Here is a 20,243-nt window from a genome sequence, read left to right on the forward strand (position 1 = left end):
TAGAGTGCAGTAGCATGATCTCAGCTCACTGCAACCTCCACCTCCCGGCCGCCTGCCTCGGCCTCCCAAAGTGCTAAGATTACAGATATGAGCCACTGCACCTGGCCCCCTTCATTATTTTTTTGTTGTAGTAAAATACACACAACATAAAGTTCACAATTTTAACTATTTTAATGTATACAATGCAGTGGCGCTTAGTACATTGAAAATTTTGTCGGCCGGGCGCGGTGGCTCATGACTGTAATCCCAGCATATTGGGAGGCTGAGGCAGGCGGATCACCTGAGGTCAGGAGTTCAAGACCAGCCTGGCCAACATGACAAAACCTCATCTCTACTAAAAATAAGAAAAATTAGTCGGGTGTGGTGGCATGTGCCTGTAATCCCAGCTATTCGGGAGGCTGAGGCAGGAGAATCACTTGAACCCAGGAGGCGGAGGTTGCAGTGAGCTGAGATCGTGCCACTGCACTCCAGGCTGGGTGACAAGAGCGAGACTCCATCTCAAAAAAAAAAAAAAAAAGAAAAAGAAAAAAGAAAATAAAATGTTGTGCAACCATCAAAACATCACCACTATCTAGTTCCATAACATTTTCATCACCCTGAAAGGAAATCCTGTACCTATTAGCCAGTCAGTCCTCAGCCTCTGGCCATCACCAGTCTGCTTTCTGTCTCTCTAGATTTATTAATACCTGTTCTTGACTTTCATATAAATGGAATAATACACTATGTGACCTTTTGTGTCCGGCTTTTTTTTTTTTTTTTTGAGACAGAGTCTTGCTCTGTGGCCAGGCTGGAGTGCAGTGGCGCAATCTCTGCTCACTGCAACCTCCACTTCCCAGGTTCAAGCGATTCTCCTGCCTCAGCCTCTCGAGTAGCTGGGACTACAGGCACACACCACCATGCCCAGCTAATTTTTTTTTTTTTGTATTTTTAGTAGAGATGGGGTTTCACCATGTTGGCCAGGATGGGCTTGATCTCCTGACCTCGTGATCCACCTGTATCAGCCTCCCAAAGTGCTGGGATTACAGGTGTGAGCCACCATGCCCGGCGTGTCTGGCTTCTTGAGCATAATGTTTTGAGGCTTATACAAGTTGTAGTATGTATCAATACTTCATTCCTTCTTATGCCTGAATAATATGCCATTGTATTTATATACCACAGTTTATTTAGCCATTCATCTATTAATGGAATTTGGATTGTTTCCACTTTTTGACTGTTATAAATAGTGCTGCTATCCACATGCATGTACAAGTATTTTTTTAAGTGCTTGTTTTCAGTTCTTTGGGGTATATACCTAGGAGTGAAATTACTGAATCATATTCTATATTTAGTTGTATGTTTAGCTTATTGAGGAACTGCCAAACTGTTTTTCACAGCAGGTGTGCCATTTTACATTCCCACCAGCAATACAAGAGGATTCAAATTTCTCCCTATCCTAACACTTGTTATTTTCCATTTTAAAAAATTATAGCCATTCTGGTGGTGAAGTGTTATCTTATTGTGATTTTATTTGCATTTCCCTAATGACTAATGACATTGAACATTTTTTTTTTTTTTTGAGACTGAGTCTCACTCTGTCCCCCAAGCTGGAGTGCAGTGGCACAATCTTGGCTCATTGCAGCCTCCGCCTCCCGGGTTCAAACAATTCTCCTACCTCAGCGTCCTGAGTAGCTGGGACTACAGGTGTGTGCCACTACACCCGGCTAATTTTTGTATTTTTAGTATAGTTTCACCACGTTGGCTAGGCTGGTCTTGAACTCCTGACCTCAAGTGATCTGCCCACCTTGGCCTCCCAAAGTGCTGGGATTACAGGCGTGAGCCACCGCACCCAGTTGACATTGAGCATTTTTTCACATATTTATTTTTTCAGTGGGTTATTTGTCTTTTTGTTGTTGAATCATACCCCCTTCATTTTTAAAGGATGTTTTCACTGGATATAGCAATCTGAGTTGACAGTCTTTTTCCGCAGCACTTGAACAATTTTGTGCCACTTCCCTCTGGCCTCCATGGCTTCTGATGAGAAAATGGCTTTCTAACTTGGTTGAACATGGGAGAAAACCCAACAAAACAAAATAAGTAAAAAGAAAAAGAGAGAGAAATCTGCTTTTATTCAAATTGCTTTCCCCTCACTGCATTCAATATTTTTTGTTTGTCTTTAGCCTTCAGCAGTTTGACTATGATGTGTGTCTTAGTTCATTTAGTGTTGCTATAAAGGAATACCTGAGGGCTGGGTAATTATAAAGAAAAATGGTTTATTTGGGTCACGATTCTGATGGCTGGAAAGTTCAAAATTGGGCATCTATATTTGGCAAGGGCCTCAGATTGCTCCCAACCATAGTGGAAGGTGAAGAGAAGTTGGTTTGGGCAGAGATCAATGGCAAGAGAAGAGGAAAGAAAAGAGGTTAGGTGACATGCTCTTTTTAACAACCAGCCCTTGCAGGAACTAAGAGTGAGAACATATTTGCTGGTGAGGGAGGACATTAATCTATTCATGAGGGATCCACCCTGATGACCCAAACACCTCCCATTTGGCCCCACCTCCAATATTGGGGATCACATTTCAACATAAGTTTTGGAGGGGACAAACATCCAAACTATTGCAATGTGTCTTGGCCTGAAGTAGTCTGGGTTTATCCTGTTAGGAGTTCATTCAGCTTCTTGAATCTGTAGGTTTATCCCTGTACCAAATCCTTTGGTACTTTTTTTGTCGTGTTCTCTTCCTCTTCTCCTTCCAGGAAATTTGCTGTCGCAAATGTTAAATCTTTTTTTTTTTTTTTTTTTTTTGAGAGAGAGTCTCGCTCTGTTGCCAGGCTGGAGTGCAGTGGCACGATCTTGGCTCACTGCAACATCCGCCTCCCGGGTTCAAAGCGATTCTCCTGCCTCAGCCTCCCCAGAAACTGGGACTACAGGCACACGCCCAGCTAATTTTTTGTATTTTTAGTAGAGATGGGGTTTCACCGTGTTGGCCAGGATTGTCTTGATCTCTTGACCTGGTGATCTGCCCGCCTTGGCCTCCCAAAGTGCTAGGATTACAGGCGTGAGCTACCGTGCCTGGCCTAAATCTTTTGTTATAATCTCACAAGTCCCTGAGGCTCTCTGCTCATTTTTCCCCCAGTCTATTTTGTTTGTTTTTCAGATTGAGTTGTTTTTTTTTTTTTTTTGAAACAGGGTCTCACTGTGTTGCACAGGCTGGAGTGCACTGGCACGATCTTCGCTCTCTACAACCTCTGCCTCCCAGGTTCAAGCCTCAGCCTCCCAAGTAGCTGGGATTATAGGTGTGTGCCACTACACCCAGCTAATTGTTTTTGCATTTTTAGTAGAGATAGGGTTTTGCCATGTTGGCTAGCCTGGTCTTGAACTCCTGGCCTCAAGTGATCTGCCTGCTTTGGTGTCCCAAAGTGCTGGGATTACAGGCGTGAGCCATTGCGCCTGACCCAGATTGAGTAATTTCTACTGTTCTTTCAGTTCACTGATTCTTTCCTTAGGGGGTAGCCTCATTACCACTCACTGAGTTTGGGTGAAAGTCCTGACTCTCTATTAAGTTTCTTCTGCTACCACCCCAACAGGAAAGAGAGGGATGATTCCTAATAGACTTGCTGGTGGTGGAAGTCTAGGCACCCCATTCAGTCTTTGCCAGAATAGGAGAGGACAAGCCACAGTTTGTTTCTGTGGCATTTGGCTGGAATAGTGCAATTATTGTCTAAAAGTTTTCTGTTTTGCTAGACTGCCTCATTCCTGATCCTTTGGCTAGAGAGAACAGGCTTTTGTTAGGGAATTTTTAGGCTGCTCCTATTGGGATTTCCAGGTTGCTGGTTTCTTTAGCTCCAAGTATGGCATATATGAGGCAAAAAGAAAGTCCACAGAAATCAGCATTGTGTCCTGCCTTTGTTTCTGGGGCTCCTAGCTGGTCTACCTCCTTCTCTCCACATTTCAGTCTTCTTAGGGTTGTCTTATATATAATGTCCAGGGAGGAGGACGAGGGAAGATCACATCTACTCAATCCTCCCTGATCCATTCTCTTTTATTCACTTGTTTATTTGGTTTTACACTAGATTTTCAGCTCTTTAAGTGTTTTGCTGTTGTTTGGAGACAGAGTCTCGCACTATCACCAGCCTAGAGTGCAGTGGCATGATCTCAGCTCACCCTATCCTCCACCTCCGGGGTTCAAGCAATTCTTGTGCCTCAGCCTCTCAAGTAGCTGGGATTACAGGCATGAGCCACAACACCCAGCTTAGGTGTATTTTTAGATTTTCAATACCTCGTCTGGCACATGATCTGTAAATGTTTTTAAAAAGGAAAATAGGCCAGGTGCGGTGGCTCATGCCTGTAATCCCAGCACTTTGGGAGGCTGAGGCTGGCAGATCACCTGAGGTCAGGAGTGCAAGACCAGCCTGGCCAATATGGTGAAATCCCGTCTCTACTAAAAATACAAAAATTAGCTGGGCATGGTGATGGGCATCTGTAGTCCCAGCTACTCAGGGGGCTGAGGCAGGAGAATCGCTTTAACCCAGGGGTGGAGGTTGCAGTGAGCTGAGATCATGCCACTGCAGTCCAGCCTGGGCGACAGAGCAAGACTCTGTCTCAAAAAAAAAAAAAAAAAAAGGAAAATAGAACTCAGAGTGAAGCAAATGAGCCACACTCCTTCCTCATCCACTTTAGGTATGCATTACCGGCAAGAAGAGGAGGCTTAATCCTGTCTTGGTGCTTTGACCAGATTCCTTCTGGTACTTTGATGTTGAGACAAGTGGCTAGCTCCCATAGCTCATACTGTCTGTCCTTCCTCGGTCTGTCCTTAACAAAAAATTACCAGCAGGTGGCAGAATAATTGATGAAAAAGTACTGTTGACCAAAACAGGAGGCTGATTTCCTCTGCAACATAGAAAAATAAATTCTGCTGCCTTGTCCCCACTCTGGGTAAGATCCTGAGATGTTGTTCTGAAGGTTAGATGCTTTTTGTTTTTCAGCCTTGGTCCAGTGAAAACAGCTGGAGTAAAAGGAAGTGGGCTCTGTTAGGCTCCTTGGTGACATGACAACAGGATTCTTGTTGTCTTTGTGAAAATAAATGTCTAGCATTTAGTTACTCGTCTTCCTATTTTATGGCATTTAAACCCATAGAAAAGTGGAGACTGGATGAGTGGAAGATTTAAACAACGTTTCTTGAACAACGTTTTAACATTGATACTTTGGAAGCCAAACAAGACCAGGCTTCGTGGCTTATGCCTGTAATCCCAGCACTTTGGGAGGCCGAGGTGGGAGGATGGCTTGAGCCCAAGAGTTTAAGACCAACCTGGGCAATATGGTGAGGCCTAGTATCTCTGCTACCACAGACACAAAATTAGCTGAGTGTGGTGGCCGGAACCTGTAGTCCCAGCTACTCAGGAGGCTGAGGTAGGAGCTCAGCACTGCACTACAGTCTGGGCAACAAAGTGGGACCGTGTCTCAAAACAACAACTATGATAATCCCCCCAAACTCTGTATCTCACCATCCATTTTTTTTTTCTGTCAGGCCTTGCTGATATACAGACACCATTGATGATTCAATCTTTCAGTTTTTAAATTCATTATCAAAAATATTTTCTGATGTAAGAGTGTGTTTGGGGAGTGGGGTTGCTTTTAAAAATTTCTGCTTGAACTCATGGGCACAGAATTCATCACTTGGGGTCATCTGACCAAAAAAGACCAGAAGGGGAGGCTTTTGATTGTTTCATTTTTTTCTTAACCTTTTATTTTTTAAAACTTCAAGCTTACAGAAAAGCTGAAAGTACAATATGGCAAACACAATTCACTAAGATTTCTTTCTTTCTTTTTCTTTTTTTTTTTTTGTAATTTTTGGTACAGACAGGATTTCACCCTGCTGCCCGGACTGGTTTCAAACTCCTAAGCTCAAAGCAATCCACCTGCCTCAGCCTCCCAAAGTGCTGGGATTACAAGCTTGAGCCACTGTATCCAGCCCGCATTTGCTTTCTTTTCTCGCTCATAAAGTTAGCTTGCAACACATTAATGCATGCACCCCAGTTTTCTTTCTCTTCACTCCCTCTTTTCCTTCCTCGCAATTTTTATTTTGTGTTGCTCTTGTTGCCCAGGCTGGGGTGCAATGGCGTGATCTCGGCTCACTGCAACCTCCGTCTCCTGGGTTAAAGCGAGTCTCCTGCCTTAGCCTCCCGAGTAGCTGGGATTACAGGCAAGCGCCACCACGCCTGGCTAATTTTGTATTTTTAGTAGAGACAGGATTTCACCATGTTGGCCAGGTTGGTCTCGAACTTCTGACCTCAGGTAATCCACCCGCCTCAGCCTCCCAAAGTCCTGGGATTACAGGCAAGCGCCACCACGCCTGGCTAATTTTGTATTTTTAGTAGAGACAGGATTTCACCATGTTGGCCAGGTTGGTCTCGAACTTCTGACCTCAGGTAATCCACCCGCCTCAGCCTCCCAAAGTCCTGGGATTACAGGCGTCTGAGCCACTGCGCCCGGCTTCCTCATAATTTTTTTTTTTTTTTTTTTTTTTGAGACAAAGTTTCACTCTTGATGCCCAGGCTGGAGTGCAATGGCGCAATCTCCGCTCACTGCAACCTCCGCCTCCCGGGTTCAAACGATTCTCCTGCCTCAGCCTCCCGAGTAGCTGGGACTACAGGCGCCCGCCACCACGCCGGCTACTTTTTGTATTTTTAGTAGAGACGGGGTTTCACTATGTTGGCCAGAATGATCTCGATCTCTTGACCTCGTGATCCACCCGCCTCGGCCTCGCAAAGTGCTGGGATTACAGGCATTAGCCACCGCGCCCGGGACCTCGTAATTTTTAAAGGTTAAAGGCCCTGAGTTTCTCTTAGTCTCCCACTAGTGAGTTGAGCTCAGATCCTGCTGAGCACCAAGTACCTCTAGGCTGAGTGATTTTCACTCGTCTGTAATATTTGTTTTAACAGTTTGGCCTACAATTCACACGACATGAAAAAAGGTACAGTGGGCCCAGGATCTCCTAGTGTTACTCGCATGACGTCTTTTATGTTCCTTAAGGAAAAGTTCCTGGTTGTTTTTGGCAAAGACGTAGCTGGGTCTCTACTTTTCTAATGTTCACAATTTCGGAAATCACTGCAACTACAAGGAGGTGAGCTTCCTCTCTGTCTCACCCTCTTCTCTCCGGACATTGGTCTCTGGTCTTGGGGACTGTAATCACGTGTACACGATGCTCCCTAGGCTCTGAGAGCCGGGCTGGAGAATTCTTTCACAATGTTTTCTACTGCAGGAAAGAAGTACCGGGAAGAAGCCCCAACATAGGAAAGGCCCAGTATGCAAGAATCTCAGAATCTAGGCAGTGAAAAATAATATGAAAAAGAATAAGTGGAAATAAACTTTTAGTTAGAATAATGTAATTTTTTTTTTTTTTTTGAGGAAGGCTCTGGCCCTGTCATCAAGTTGGAGTGCAGTGGCACGATCACGGCTCGCTGCAACCTCCGCCTACCAGGCTCAAGCGATCCGGCCTCTCGGGTAGATGGGACTACAGGCAAGCGCCACCACGCCCGGCTAATTTTTTTGTGCTTTTGATAGAGCCCGGGTTTGCCACTTTGCCCAGGCTGGTCTCGAACTAGGAGCTCCAGCAATCTGGCCACTTTGGCTTCAGTGTTTAGCAGTTACAGGCACGAACCGCAGCACTTAGTAGAATCATATAGCTGCAACCGGGAAGGGTTAGCAGCTTCCCTGGTGGTCTAGTGGTTAGGATTCGGCGCTCTCACCGCCGCGGCCCGGGTTCGATTCCCGGTCAGGGAAAGAGTAACATCTTCTTTTACTGCTTTCTCTCAGGATCTTTTAAATAAACGTTATCTGCTAGTCAATCTTCCCCATCCCACTGAAAACTGAAATACAGAAAATGTAGAAAAACACAAATAAAGAAATCGCTCACCATTCTATCACCCGAAGACCACTCAATATCTAGGTTTTGAAACAAAGTGGAAGTATGCTATAATACTATTTTATCACCAGCTGTTTTTGTTGTTGTTGAGACGGAGTTTCGCTGTCGTTGCCCCAGGCTGGAGTGCAGTGGCGCGATCTCGGCTCACTGCAACCTCCGCCTCCCGGGTTCAAGCGATTCTCCTGCCTCAGCCTCCCAAGTAGCTGGGATTACAGGCCTGCGCTACCACGCCCGGCTAATTTTGTATTTGTAGTAGAGACGGGGTTCACCATATTGGTGAGGCCGGTCTCGAACTCCTGACCTCAGGTGATCCACCCGCCTCTGCCTTACCAAAGTGACGGGATTATAGGCGTGAGCTACCATGCTCGGCCAACACCAGCTATTTTTAAGGTTAACAATGTATTTCTAACACTTTGCAGTGGAAATAAATATCCTTCAGTAACGTATTTTCTTTCAATTTAATTACTGGATTTTCGAAAAGGTAATATATTTACATGGTTTAGGATTCAAATATACAAAAGGGCAGAACTGATAAACCTTTCACCTCTACCATTTATTTTCTCTCTAATGAAGTAACCGCTGTTAAGTTTCTTCATGATGTTAGAGATGTTTTATGCAAATGCAAGTACATGCATATATACATACGTATATATATTTAAACATTCTCTCCCCCTTGTACAAATGGAAGTAATCTATACACACTTTCTGCACTTTGCCTTTTCCATTTAACAGTATATTTTGGAAGTACTTACAGATTAGACATGAAGAACTTCCTCATTCTTTCTTCTGGCACATAGCATTCCGTTGTATGGATTTTCCATAATTAGTTTAGCCAGCTTCCTATTATAGACACTTAGGTTATTTCTAGCCCTTTGCTCTTTGGAAAAAAAAATGCTGTCATATACGGTCTTGTACATATGTAATTTTGCGCATGTGTGGAATAAATGTCCAGGAAACTAGAATTGACTTTTCTTAAAGCTGTGAAACAAGATACTACTACAGAATTTTTAATAGGAGAAATTCCAGAGAGCTTCCTTTTAATTTTCCTCTTGTAGGTTTTTCCTGCAGTCTAAATTGCTTAGCCTAGAAATAAACGGGAAGACAAACCTGATTATTTAGTTCTGATACTCTAAAGGAATCAAGCGTATTTCAGATGCGTTGGTGGTATAGTGGTGAGCATAGCTGCCTTCCAAGCAGTTGACCCGGGTTCGATTCCCGGCCAACGCAGTGTCAGTTTTTCTCTTCAGCTTTTTAGACTGAGTAGGCCTGGAAACCGAGCAAAGTAGGGAACACAGGAAAAGAGTTTTGACCACTTTTGTGTCCTAGGTCTGCACCAGTATGGTCTGTCCCTCCCACAGTAAACATCTGTATTTTGGTAACTGCACGTGCGCGCCTAGCCCGTCTGATGGGTTCGGCCGCTGGCGTCCAAACAATAACTCTCCTAGGGGTCTAGGGAAGTTAACAATAACTCTCCTAGGGGTCTAAGGAAGTGTCTGAAATAGAGGCTGGTTGGATTTGTTTTTCTGAATCGGCAGAGGTGGCTCTGATATATTTATGAGTCAAGATGAGGAAGTCAGCACAAGCTCCCACAATGCCAGAGAGTACACAGCGCTTCTTGTACCTGTGAGGGAAGCAAGAAATTAAGACGGGGCTCTCATCCCCTCCCCAGCTCACTAGCTCCGTTTTTCTTCCGGTTCCACCATTCTGGGAAGAGAAACCTCAATTCCGTGGTACAGGCTGCAGATGTAATTTGAAAAATCCTTCGAGGCTGCCCCTCTCATCCCTGGGCGAAGCAGCTTGATTCCTTGGAGGGGGAAGAGGGAAATGGAGGCAGAGAGGTGAGAGGAGAGAGGCGAGAGGCGGCGTGGTCCCGGGTTGCAGCTGACGCTTTCTGCCCTCTAGTCAGGACCTTGGCCCGCCGCCGCCCAGCGGAGCGGGTGGTGCTATCGCTGGCATCGAGGGATTTAGAGTCTAAGAAACTGATTCAGGTGTCGGAGCTTCAAGGTTGCAGAGTGAAAAAGTTTGGAATTGATTGATGCGGACGTCAGGGACTGGCCAAATAAAAGTAGCACGAAATAGCCATTCCTATTTCAAGAGGCATTAAATCCAGCTGTAGCGCGCCGCCTGGTTAGTGGCTCGCCGTGATCGTATAGTGGTTAGTACTCTGCGTTGTGGCCGCAGCAACCTCGGTTCGAATCCGAGTCACGGCAGGTGGTTCTAACTTGCTGGGGTGGCGGTTTTTTTTTTTTTTAATTAACACTTTTAAAAGAGTGACACATGCTTGTAATTCTGCCTTCGCTTAAGGCATCCCCGCGGAAGTGCAGTCCACAGATTCGGTGAATAACAATAGCTCCAGGCCGACGTGGTGGCTCGCGCCATTACGTAATCCCAGCAGCTTTGGGAAGTCTCGGAGGCGGGAGAATCCCTGGAGCCCAGGAGTTCGCGACCAGCTTGAGACGCCTCCCCACAATGTCAGAATTTTTTTTTTTTTTTTTTTTTTGAGACAGAGTCTTGCTCTGTCGCCCAGGCTGGAGTGCAGTGGCGCGATCTCGGCTCACTGCAACCCCCGCCTCCCGGGTTCAAGCAATTCTCCTGCCTCAGCCTCCTGAGTAGCTGGGATTACAGGCGCCCGCCACCACGCCCAGCTAATTTTTGTATCTTTAGTAGAGACGAGGTTTCACTATGTTGGTCAGGCTGGTCTCGAACCCCTGACCTCGTGATCCACCCGCCTCGGCCTCCCAAAGTGCTGGGATTACAGGCTTGAGCCATCGCCCCCGGCCAGAAAAAGAATTTTTAAGATGGTGGCGGGCGCTTTTGGTCCCAGCTACTTAGGGAGGGTGAAGTGGGAGCATCGCTTGAGCCCGGGAAGTAGAGGCTGCAATGAACTATGATCGCGCCACTGCACTCCAGCCTGGGCGACAGAGCGGGACCCTGTCTCAAACAACAATAGTTCCAGTTGGCTCACACTGCGGCTCGCCCACCAAGGTGCTAAGCAGCCCAGGCGGGAAGCTTTAGAGCGATATGGAGGCCCACGGAGCTGGGACCACGGTTGTTCTTTTGGCCTTCACTTGAGCAGAGGAGAGAACCCTTCCCTTGTGACTCTGGAACTCAGTGCCTCTTCCAGGATGGAGAATTAAAATGCTTTGCAGAGAGGTCTTTGCGCCTCTCATCTGAGTTTCCTTGGGCTCTTTCGCACCCTCCTCTGAAGTGGGTGAGGAGGTTCCCTCAGTGGAAGGAATGTGCGGAAAACACTAAGGTTTCAGGCAGGACTCGTGATTCCCGAGTCCTCCGCGAGACTTCCTGGCTCTCTGCAGCCCCCATCGCTCTCTAAACCCCGAATTCCTTCATGGCAAAAAGCTATTATGAAAAGGCTACTGCCGTGTCCACCAGTCCTAGGTCCTGAAACTTCTTTCACACGCAATAATATGCAATTAGATCATACAACCGCTCCGTCAGTGGAAAATGATTCCATATAAGAAGACGCCAGTAATCAGTGCCCGGCTAGCTCAGTCGGTAGAGCATGAGACTCTTAATCTCAGGGTCGTGGGTTCGAGCCCCACGTTGGGCGCTGTGTTTTTATTTAACCCTCTCGCTTAGCTACCATGGAAACATGAACTTCTAAATCGCCACAGCGGCTACTGTCCTTTTACGGTAACTGATTCCAGAAATCATCTCCATTCACCCCAAATTCATCAAGAAAAGAGGAATCTGGGCCGGGCGCGGTGGCTCACGCCTGTAATCCCAGTACTTTGGGAGGCCGAGGTGGGCGGATCACCTGAGGTCAGGAGTTCGAGACCAGCCTCAACACGGAGAAACCCCTTCTCTACTAAAAATACAAAATTAGCCGGGCGTGGAGGTGCATGCCTGTAATCTCAGCTACTCGGGAGGCTGAGGCAGGAGAATTGCTTGAACCTGGAAGACGGAGGTTGCGGTGAGCCGAGATCACGCCATTGCACTCGGTCTCAAAAAAAAGAAAAAAAAAAGAAAAGAGGAATCTGGGGATTCTAGTGTCTGTAGTGACCACATACTTCGAATCCACGATGGGCTTCTCAACTGGGCGAAGGCAGACAAGCTGAGCAGCTCTGAGAAGAGTCCAAAATCGCTCCGACACTGCTCCAGGGAGAACAGCCTTAGGACGGCTCCAGAGGGAAATACTGGTTCTCTTCTTGTTGGTGGGAAATTTTGAATGGGGTTTTGAAAGGCCTTTGTAGTGAGTTAAAATATTCTCAGCTAGGTGTTAGGGAGCATCTGTTTGCTTTTTAGGTTTTGAAGCCTTCATCAGCCGCAAAGGGCTGTAAAATACAACCATTTTAGGAAGGTCAGGAAAAAGAGGAGAGGGCTCTAGAAAAGAAGTTGAGGAGGCGGAGGAGAGAAGCGGAAGAGCAAAGAAAAGGAGGAGCAAAGACGAACGGGTAGGGCAGCGAGTAGGGAGTTAACAGTTGCAGTCTTATTTGATGAATATAGGCTGCCACTCCAGAGTGCTGGGTCCACTACTTTGAATTAGTTATTGATCCACCGGAGAACTTTTTTCTGTTCCCGAAAGCCTGGAGTTGTTTGCCTTACATTTGTTCCTGCTAAATTAGCTTTAACTGTTGCTTTTGCTGGCGTAGGTTAAGTTGGTTTGCCAGGTGGGTGGAAGCCAAGATTGGCACCATTCAAGAGACATTCTTTTTTTTTTTTTTTTTTTTTTTTGAGACAGAGTCTCGCTCTGTCACCCAGGCTGGAGTGCAGTGCCCCGATCTCGGCTCACTGCAACCTCCGCCTCCCGGGTTCAAGCGATTCTCCCTCCTCAGCCTCCCGAGTAGCTGGGGATTACAGGCGACCGCCATCAAGCCCAGCTAATTTTTGTATTTTTAGTAGAGACAGGGTTTCACCATGTTGGCCAGGCTGGTCTCGAACCCCTGAACTCAGGTGATCTGCCCGCCTTGGCCTCCTAAAATGCTGGGATTACAGGCATGAGCCACCGCTCCCGGCCTGAACATTCCTTTTCAACTCCTCCTACAGATCTTCCACCTCCTTTCCCTAAGGATCATTTACCAGTACTTTTTATTTTTTAAGAGTGTAAATATGCTTTAGTCTCACTTACATATAGTCCACCAACCATCTCCAAAATGACCAGTTATTCTCAAAGTGTGGTCCCAGGACAATCATCTTCAGTATCACCTGGAAACTTGAGATAAACGCAAACTATTGAGTGCCACCTTAGACCTATGGAATCAGAAACCCCGAGGGTGGCCCCAACAATCTGTTACTTAACAAGCTCTCTAGGGAGTTTGGAATGTTCAAGTTTGGGAACCACTGCATTAGGGCAGCCTCCTTCCCTATTAACCGAGGGTGTATCATATTCTTGGATAGGAGACTCAACATCATAAAGACAGCACCTCTCCTTTACTTGGTGTCTGAATTTAACATGATTTTCATAAAACTGTCCAAAGAATTTTTTCTTTTTTATTCAAACTAGACAATATGATTATAAAGTTCAAAAGGAAAATACCAAGGAGAAATATCCAAGGAATTCTTTCTTTTTTTTTTTAGAGACAGTATCTCGCTCTGTCACCCAAGATGGAGGGCAGTATCATGATCTTGGCTCACTGCAACCTCCACCTCCCTCAGGCTCAGCTGATCCTCCTACCTTAGCCTCCCAAGTAGCTGGGTCTACAGGCGCTTGCCATCATGCTTGGCTGATTTTTTAACTTTTTGTAGAGATGAGGGCTCACTGTATTGCCTAGGGTGGTCCCAAACTCCTGGACTCAAGCGATATGCCCACCTCAGCCTCCCAAAGTGTTGGGATTACAGGCCTGAGCCACTGTGCCCAAACTAATGGTAAATTTTCCTAAAGTTTATGTTGGAGAGGGTTTTTTTTTTTTTTTTTTTTTTTTTTTGAGACAGAGTCTCGCATTTTCGCCCAGGCTGGAGTGTAGTGGCAGATCTCGGCTCACTGCAAGCTCCGCCTCCAGGGTTCACGCCATTTTCCTTCCTCAGCCTCCCGAGTAGCTGGGACTACAGGCGCCCGCCACCACGCCCTGCTAATTTTTGTATTGTCAGTAGAGACGGGGTTTCAGTGTGTTAGTCAGGATAGTCTCGATCTTCTGACCTTGTGATCCGCTCGCCTTGGCCTCCCAAAGTGCTGGGATTACAGGCTTCAGCCACCGCGCCCGGCGGGAAGGTTAATATACCTTGTGAATGGAGGATAAGTTGGTACAAGTTCTACAGGGTGCCTTATGACAATATCTATAAAAGTAAAAAAACTTTTTTTCTTGGAGACTGAATCTCTGTCGCCCAGGCTGGAGTGCAGTGGCACAATCTTGGCTCCCTACAACCTTCGCCTCCCAGATTCAAGTGATTCTCCCACCTCAGTCTCTCCAGTAGTTGGGACCACATGTGCGCACCACCACCCCCGACTAATTTTTTTGTATTTTTAGTAGAGATGGGGTTTTACCATATTGGCCAGGCTGTTCTCAAACTCGTGATCCACCCACTTTGGCCTCCCAAAGTCCTGGGATTATAGGTGTGAGCCATCACGCCTGACCAAAAAAAATTTTAAAAAATTTTTCTTTTAAACTTTGTGTCATGGCCGGGCGCGGTGGCTCACGCCTGTAATCCCAGCACTTTGTGAGGCCGAGGCAGGCGGATCACTGAGGTCAGGAGTTCGAGACCAGCCTGACCAACATGGAGAAACCCTGTCTCTACTAAAAATACAAAATTAGCCAGGCGTGGTGGCACATGCCTGTAATCCTAGCTACTAGGGAAGCTCAGGCAGGAGAATAGCTTGAACCTGGGAGGCGGAGGTTGCGGTGAGCTGAGATTGCACCATTGCACTCCAGCCTGGGCAATAAGAGCGAAACTCCGTCTCAAAAAAAAAGAAAAAGAAAAAAATGTTGGTTATATTTTCCAGCTTCTCTCATCAAGAGAGTCTATTTCTCCTCTGTTTGAATCTGGGATTGGCTATGTGACTTGCTTTGGGCAAATGTTGGTGCCTTCACAAAATAATAACTTATTGTTATTCTAAGTCAATAAGCTTGGGATGGTTTATTATGCAGCAAAAGTATATCAAAAGGGTGATGGTAGTTGCAGGAAATAAATATATACCTTTAACTGTATATGCATAAACATCTTTGGAATGATACCTCCAAAATATACATTCCTATATTGAAAGAGCACACTGTGTACCCAGCATGGTGGATGAAAATAGATCATGAAGTTTCAGAATAGTAGGAACAGGTAGAAGATTCTATAAGCTTTTGGGAGGGGAGCTGGGAGAACAGTTTAAGGCAAATAACAAAGAATCAGAACGGCATCCATCTTCTCTACGGTGTTGAGGCGCTCCAGTCTATAACCATCAGGAACAAACCTATAGTCAAATCTGAGTATATTGGCTCATTGCAACAGAGGAGACAGCAAACACTATGGGGAAATTGTGGGACAATTCTTCCCCTGGGAATCTCGATATTTTTATCTAGAAAGTGGGAGGAATGGTTGCAGAACTAAACACATAATTGGTAAAGAATCAACAGTCAATACAAAAGTTAGCCGAGCATGGTTGGGCATGCCTGTAATCCCAGCTACTTAAGAGGCTGAGGGAGGAGAATCGCTTGAACCCAGGAGGCAGAGGTTGCAGTGAGCTGAGATGACGTCCCTGCACTCCAGCCTGGGTGACAGAGACTGTCTCAAAAAAATAAAATAAAATAAAAAATAAGGCCAGGTGCAGTGGCTCACGCCTGTAATCCCAACACTTTGAGAGGCCAAGGCGGGCAGATCACAAGGTCAGGAGTTCGAGACCAGCCTGGCCAATATGGTGAAACCCCGTCTCTACTAAAAATACAAAAATTAGCTGAGTGTGGTGGTGGGCGCCTGTAGTCCCAGCTACTCCGGAGGTTGAGACAGGAGAATCGCTTGAACCCGGGAGGCAGAGGTTGCAGTGAGCCGAGATCACGCCACTGCACTCCAGCCTGGCGACAGAGCAAGACTCCGTCTCAAAAAAATAAAAAATAAAAGAATTAACAGTCACTATTAGTAGCTGGGAAAGGGGAATGTTTGATCATATTATGGTTTGAACAGTGTTCTGTTTGTGCTCAAATATGATTGTGAAATAGTCTTTCTTTCATCTTGGTGAGAGGGTAGCTTTGTCTGATATTGGTGTTGTGAAATTTTTAGTTTGAACCGGAGAACATCATGGCCTAGGTGTTTATCAGACCAGCTCTAGCTGAGAGCAGAAAAGGGTTACTTTTTCTTTCTCAGAAACGACTATGGAAAACAGTAGGCCGGGCGCAGTGGCTCACTCCTGTAATCCCTGCACTTTCGGAGCCCGAGGCGGGCGGATCACGAGGTCAGGAGTTCGAGACCAGCCTGGCCAATATGGTGAAACCCCGTCTCTACTAAAAATACAAAAATTAGCTGGCCATAGTGGTGTATGCCTGTAGTCCCAGCTACTTGGGAGGCTAAGGCAGAAGAATCGCTTGAACCTAGGAGGCAGAGGTTGCAGTGAACCGAGATTGTGCCACTGCACTCCAGCCTGGGCAACAGAGCGAGACTCCGTCTCAAAAAAAAAAAAAAAAAAAAAAAAAGACTATAGGGAAACAGTAAACAACAAGGGCCGGGCGCGGTGGTTCACGCCTGTAATCCCAGCACTTTGCAAAGCCGAGGGAGGCGGATCACTTGAGGTCAGGAGTTTGAAACTGTAGCAGGAGAGGTCGTAGACAAAATCCCTCAGACACCGGATTGTGGAAGGTAAGAGCTTTATTCAGTTGGGAGCGTCGGCCGACTCACGTCCTAGAAACGGAGCTCCCCGAATAAGTAATTCCTGTCCCTTTTAAAGGCTCACAACTCTAAAGGGGCTGTGGGTGGAGGGAGAGGTCATGATCGATTGAGCAAGCGAGGGGTACGTGACTGGGGGCTGCATGCACCGGTAATCAGAACGAAACAGAACAGAAAAGGGAGTTTCATAATGCGTTTTTATACAATGTCTGGAATTTATAGACAGCGCAAGTGGTGAGGTCAGGGGTTGAATTTTAACAACAAGGCCCGAAATGTGGCGCCCGGTTGTCTGACCACGATTTTCACTTCTGCCCATTCTTTCAACCTCCACTTTTTCAGCAAACAAGAAATTAAGTATAAGACAATATGAGGAGTGCTCTCCTCTCAAAACCAGCTTGGCTAACATGGCGAAACCCCATCTCTACTAAAAATTAAAAAATTAGCCGGGCGTGGTGGCGGGTGCCTGTAATCCCAGCTACTGGGGAGGCTGAGGCAGGAGAATCGCTTGAACCCGGCAGGTGGAGGTTGCAGTGAGCCGAGATCCCGCCGCCGCACTCCAGCCTGGGCGACGGAGCGAGGCGAGACTCTGTTTCAAAAAAAAAAAAAAAAAAAAAGCAGTGCTTTTAAAAATTTGAGAGAAATTATTTCAACCTATCTCTATGTATCTCTATCTAGTAAAATATCAATTAAGTGTATGGGTATAATAGACATTTTCAGACATGCAGTGTCTCAAAAAGTTTATTTCTAAGGTAACCACTTTATAGGAGGTTTTGGAGGATATGCATCATCAAAAGGAAGAAGTGAGTGAAGAATGAACCCCCTTGAGATCCATGAAGCAGGGGATCTAACAAAAGAGAGAGGCGATGGAAATCCCAAGATGGTGCAGTAAAGAGAGATATTATGATAACAGCTGTGGGATAAGCCTGAAGAGCAAGTCATCCAGAACGGAACAGATAGAAATGTGCCAGGAAAAATTTTTCTTTCTTTCTTTTTTTTTTTTTTTTTTGAGAAGGAGTCTCGCTCTTTTGCCCAGGCTGGAATGCAGTGGTGCAATCTTGGCTCACTGCAACCTCCGCCTGCCCAGTTCAAGTGATTCTCCTGCCCTCAGCTTCCCGAGTAGCTGGGATTACAGGCGCCCCCCACCATGCCCGACTAATTTTTGTATTTTTAGTAAAGACGGGGTTTCACCACGCTGGCCAGGCTGTTCTTGAACTCCTGACCTCAGGTGATCCACCTGCCTGGGCCTCCCAAAGTGCTGGGATTACAGACATGAGCCACCACGCTGGGCCAGGAAAAATTTCTTGAACAAACATACAAGCAGGCAAACCAATCAAAATGATTTTGTGTTTCTATGTGTTGAGGGGAGATTTACAGAGCTGGGGAGAAATTGGCTAGTATTAAGTAATAAATACATGAAAAACTAACCAAATGGAAAAATAAGATTATTATTGCCAGGGTAAATACTGTACAAAAAAAAAAAAAAAATCACTATCTAGAAGCTAGGAAGAGGACTCACACCAAGAACCAAACCTGCTGGCACCTTGATCTTGGACATCTCAGCCTCCAGAACTGTGAGAAATAAATGTTTAAGCCACCCAGTAGATGGTATTTTGTTACAGCAGCCTGAGATAACTAAGACATCCAAACCTCTGAAAGAATCAAAATCAGACTTTACTTAACTAACTCTAGGTATATCTATTTGAGAATCCATCCTCTATTTCTATTTTCTTAGCTTTAAAGAAAATTTGGGGGGTGCTATGGCAATAGGTGTAGGTACCACTGCAACAGAATCTTGCAGTGCAGGAGAGAGATTGGACTCAACTCCTATTTCTGTTTCTTATGACGTTTTCTTTAGCTACTTGCCTATCCAGCTCACCAGACAGTGTTTCATAGCAAGTACCATGTACCAGCATAGACCAAACAATTCCACAAGAGCAGTAGAATAGCCAGTATTATTAAGTTCCAACAATAAAAGCCCAAGAATGCAATCTCTCCTCTTGTTGCCACAATAAGAAAAAGATCCATTATATAAAGTCTTAATTAGATGAAAATTTAAAATCTCCCCTTTTCAATTTTTATTTGGCTAAGGACCAACTCTGTGCCAAATTAAAGGTCCCGCCCTGGAGGGTTAGGTCTGAGTTCTTCTTCAGCAGCTGAAGCCTGGGCTCTCTGTCACAGGAACAGTGGGAACACCCATTGTCAGCACTTTTACAGTCAGGTGAATCCAACCTCAAGTCTCTCTTGTGAACCACTTTCCCAGAATTCTCAGGGGTCAGGAGAACAAAGGAGAACAGGGTAGCACCAGCTCCTTACCTGTAAGATTCAGTGCTATGTGTGAGACCTGCAAGCAATAATATTCCCCAAACAAAAGTGAAGAGTTTGTGCTGCTATTAAATGTCAGATAGTGTGGCCAAGGAAGGAGCATTCTCTTAGGATGTGGGAATATGACTAGGCCCAACTTCTTTAGAGGTCAATTAAGCATCAATTAGAAAAACTGGAAAGGCACAAATACTTTGACCAGGGAAGTCTATTTCTAGAAGTGTGTTTTAAGAAATCCTTGCACAGCTCACACCTGTAATCCCAGGCCTTTGGGAGGCCAAGGCAGGCAGATCATGAGATCAGGAGATCGAGACCATCCTGGCTAACACAGTGAAACCCAGTCTCTACTAAAAATACAAAAATTAGCTGGGCCTGGTGGCGGGCGCCTGTAGTCCCAGCTACTCTGGAGGCTGAGGCAGGAGAATGGCGTGAACCTGGGAGGCGGAGCTTGCAGTGAGCCGAGATCGTACCACTGCACTCCAGCCTGGGCAGCAGACCAAGACACCGTCTCAAAAAAAAAAAAAAAAAAAAAAAAAAAAAAAAAAAAAAAAAAAGAAATCCCTGCACAAATGATGAAAGATAGTTGTATAAGGATGTTCTCTGAATAATTTTTTATAAGAATAAGCATTAGACACAATTTTGTGTCCATTAGCTGAGGGCCATTTAAATATATACTGGTTCATCCATACCATAAAAAGATAAGCAGTTGTTTAAAAGCCTGAGGTAAAATATGAAAGTGGTGATGATGATGCCACTGAAAATAATTATAGCAGCTAACGTTTAATGAACATTTATTAGGTGCTCAAATGCTTTATGTGTATTTCTCATCAAATGTGTAACCAAAAATAAAATTCTAAGGCCCCCCAGCCATGTGAATGGACCCCTGCTCTAGGTCAAGGTCATTCCACAGTTAACCTGAAAAACTAGTTCAGGCCATGATGGGAAGAAGTTGGACATGCCTCATTATACCCTCCTTCCTTTTGGAACTCAGGAAAAGCCAACCAGCATTAACATCAACACAGACCTTAAGTCTGATAAGAAACATTTACAATCTATTTTCTCTGAAGCCTGCTACCTGGAGGCTTCATCTGCATGGTAAAACCTTGGTCTCCACAACCCCCTATCTAACCCAGAAATTCCCTTCTGGAATAAGAACTCTTTCAACCAATAGCTAATCAGAAAAATTTTAAATCTATGACCTGGAAGCCCCCCACCCTTTGAGTTGTCCCGCCCTTCCAGATTGAAGCAGTGTAAATCTTACATGTATTGA

The 20,243-nt window shown here is 45.5% G+C and overlaps 4 non-coding genes across 4 annotated transcripts, besides 9 other annotated features; all 4 read left to right on the forward strand.

Moving 5' to 3' along the window:
- Window positions 7,569-7,808: a silencer, noted in NCBI's record as "silent region_1271". NCBI's record gives its function as "represses an Ori minimal core promoter by ATAC-STARR-seq in GM12878 lymphoblastoid cells {active_cell/tissue: GM12878}" and the evidence as "EXISTENCE:reporter gene assay evidence [ECO:0000049][PMID:35858748]".
- On the forward strand, window positions 7,687-7,758 carry TRE-CTC1-1 (tRNA-Glu (anticodon CTC) 1-1). Its single transcript has one exon. It is a non-coding gene; the product is annotated as a tRNA-Glu (tRNA).
- Window positions 9,027-9,216: a silencer, noted in NCBI's record as "silent region_1272". NCBI's record gives its function as "represses an Ori minimal core promoter by ATAC-STARR-seq in GM12878 lymphoblastoid cells {active_cell/tissue: GM12878}" and the evidence as "EXISTENCE:reporter gene assay evidence [ECO:0000049][PMID:35858748]".
- On the forward strand, window positions 9,056-9,127 carry TRG-TCC2-1 (tRNA-Gly (anticodon TCC) 2-1). The gene has a single exon. It is a non-coding gene; the product is annotated as a tRNA-Gly (tRNA).
- Window positions 9,457-9,506: an enhancer, noted in NCBI's record as "active region_1629". NCBI's record gives its function as "activates an Ori minimal core promoter by ATAC-STARR-seq in GM12878 lymphoblastoid cells {active_cell/tissue: GM12878}" and the evidence as "EXISTENCE:reporter gene assay evidence [ECO:0000049][PMID:35858748]".
- Window positions 9,957-10,156: a silencer, noted in NCBI's record as "silent region_1273". NCBI's record gives its function as "represses an Ori minimal core promoter by ATAC-STARR-seq in GM12878 lymphoblastoid cells {active_cell/tissue: GM12878}" and the evidence as "EXISTENCE:reporter gene assay evidence [ECO:0000049][PMID:35858748]".
- On the forward strand, window positions 10,039-10,110 carry TRH-GTG1-1 (tRNA-His (anticodon GTG) 1-1). Its single transcript has one exon. It is a non-coding gene; the product is annotated as a tRNA-His (tRNA).
- Window positions 10,862-11,528: an enhancer, noted in NCBI's record as "NANOG-H3K27ac-H3K4me1 hESC enhancer chr1:145395462-145396128 (GRCh37/hg19 assembly coordinates)". NCBI's record gives its function as "activates a minimal SCP1, AML or CMV promoter by ChIP-STARR-seq in naive and primed H9 embryonic stem cells {active_cell/tissue: H9 hESC(naive and primed)}" and the evidence as "EXISTENCE:reporter gene assay evidence [ECO:0000049][PMID:30033119]".
- Window positions 10,862-11,546: a biological region, named in NCBI's record as "NANOG-H3K27ac-H3K4me1 hESC enhancer GRCh37_chr1:145395462-145396128".
- Window positions 11,057-11,166: an enhancer, noted in NCBI's record as "active region_1630". NCBI's record gives its function as "activates an Ori minimal core promoter by ATAC-STARR-seq in GM12878 lymphoblastoid cells {active_cell/tissue: GM12878}" and the evidence as "EXISTENCE:reporter gene assay evidence [ECO:0000049][PMID:35858748]".
- Window positions 11,377-11,546: a silencer, noted in NCBI's record as "silent region_1274". NCBI's record gives its function as "represses an Ori minimal core promoter by ATAC-STARR-seq in GM12878 lymphoblastoid cells {active_cell/tissue: GM12878}" and the evidence as "EXISTENCE:reporter gene assay evidence [ECO:0000049][PMID:35858748]".
- Window positions 11,396-11,468, forward strand: TRK-CTT2-1 (tRNA-Lys (anticodon CTT) 2-1). Its single transcript has one exon. It is a non-coding gene; the product is annotated as a tRNA-Lys (tRNA).
- Window positions 11,929-12,094: a silencer, noted in NCBI's record as "fragment chr1:145394896-145395061 (GRCh37/hg19 assembly coordinates)". NCBI's record gives its function as "represses an EF-1alpha promoter that drives an FKBP-Casp9 reporter gene in an ReSE screen in K562 erythroleukemia cells {active_cell/tissue: K562}" and the evidence as "EXISTENCE:reporter gene assay evidence [ECO:0000049][PMID:32094911]".

This window comes from Homo sapiens, chromosome 1 (assembly GCF_000001405.40).
Source record: "Homo sapiens chromosome 1, GRCh38.p14 Primary Assembly".
Taxonomy (NCBI): Eukaryota; Metazoa; Chordata; class Mammalia; order Primates; family Hominidae; genus Homo; species Homo sapiens.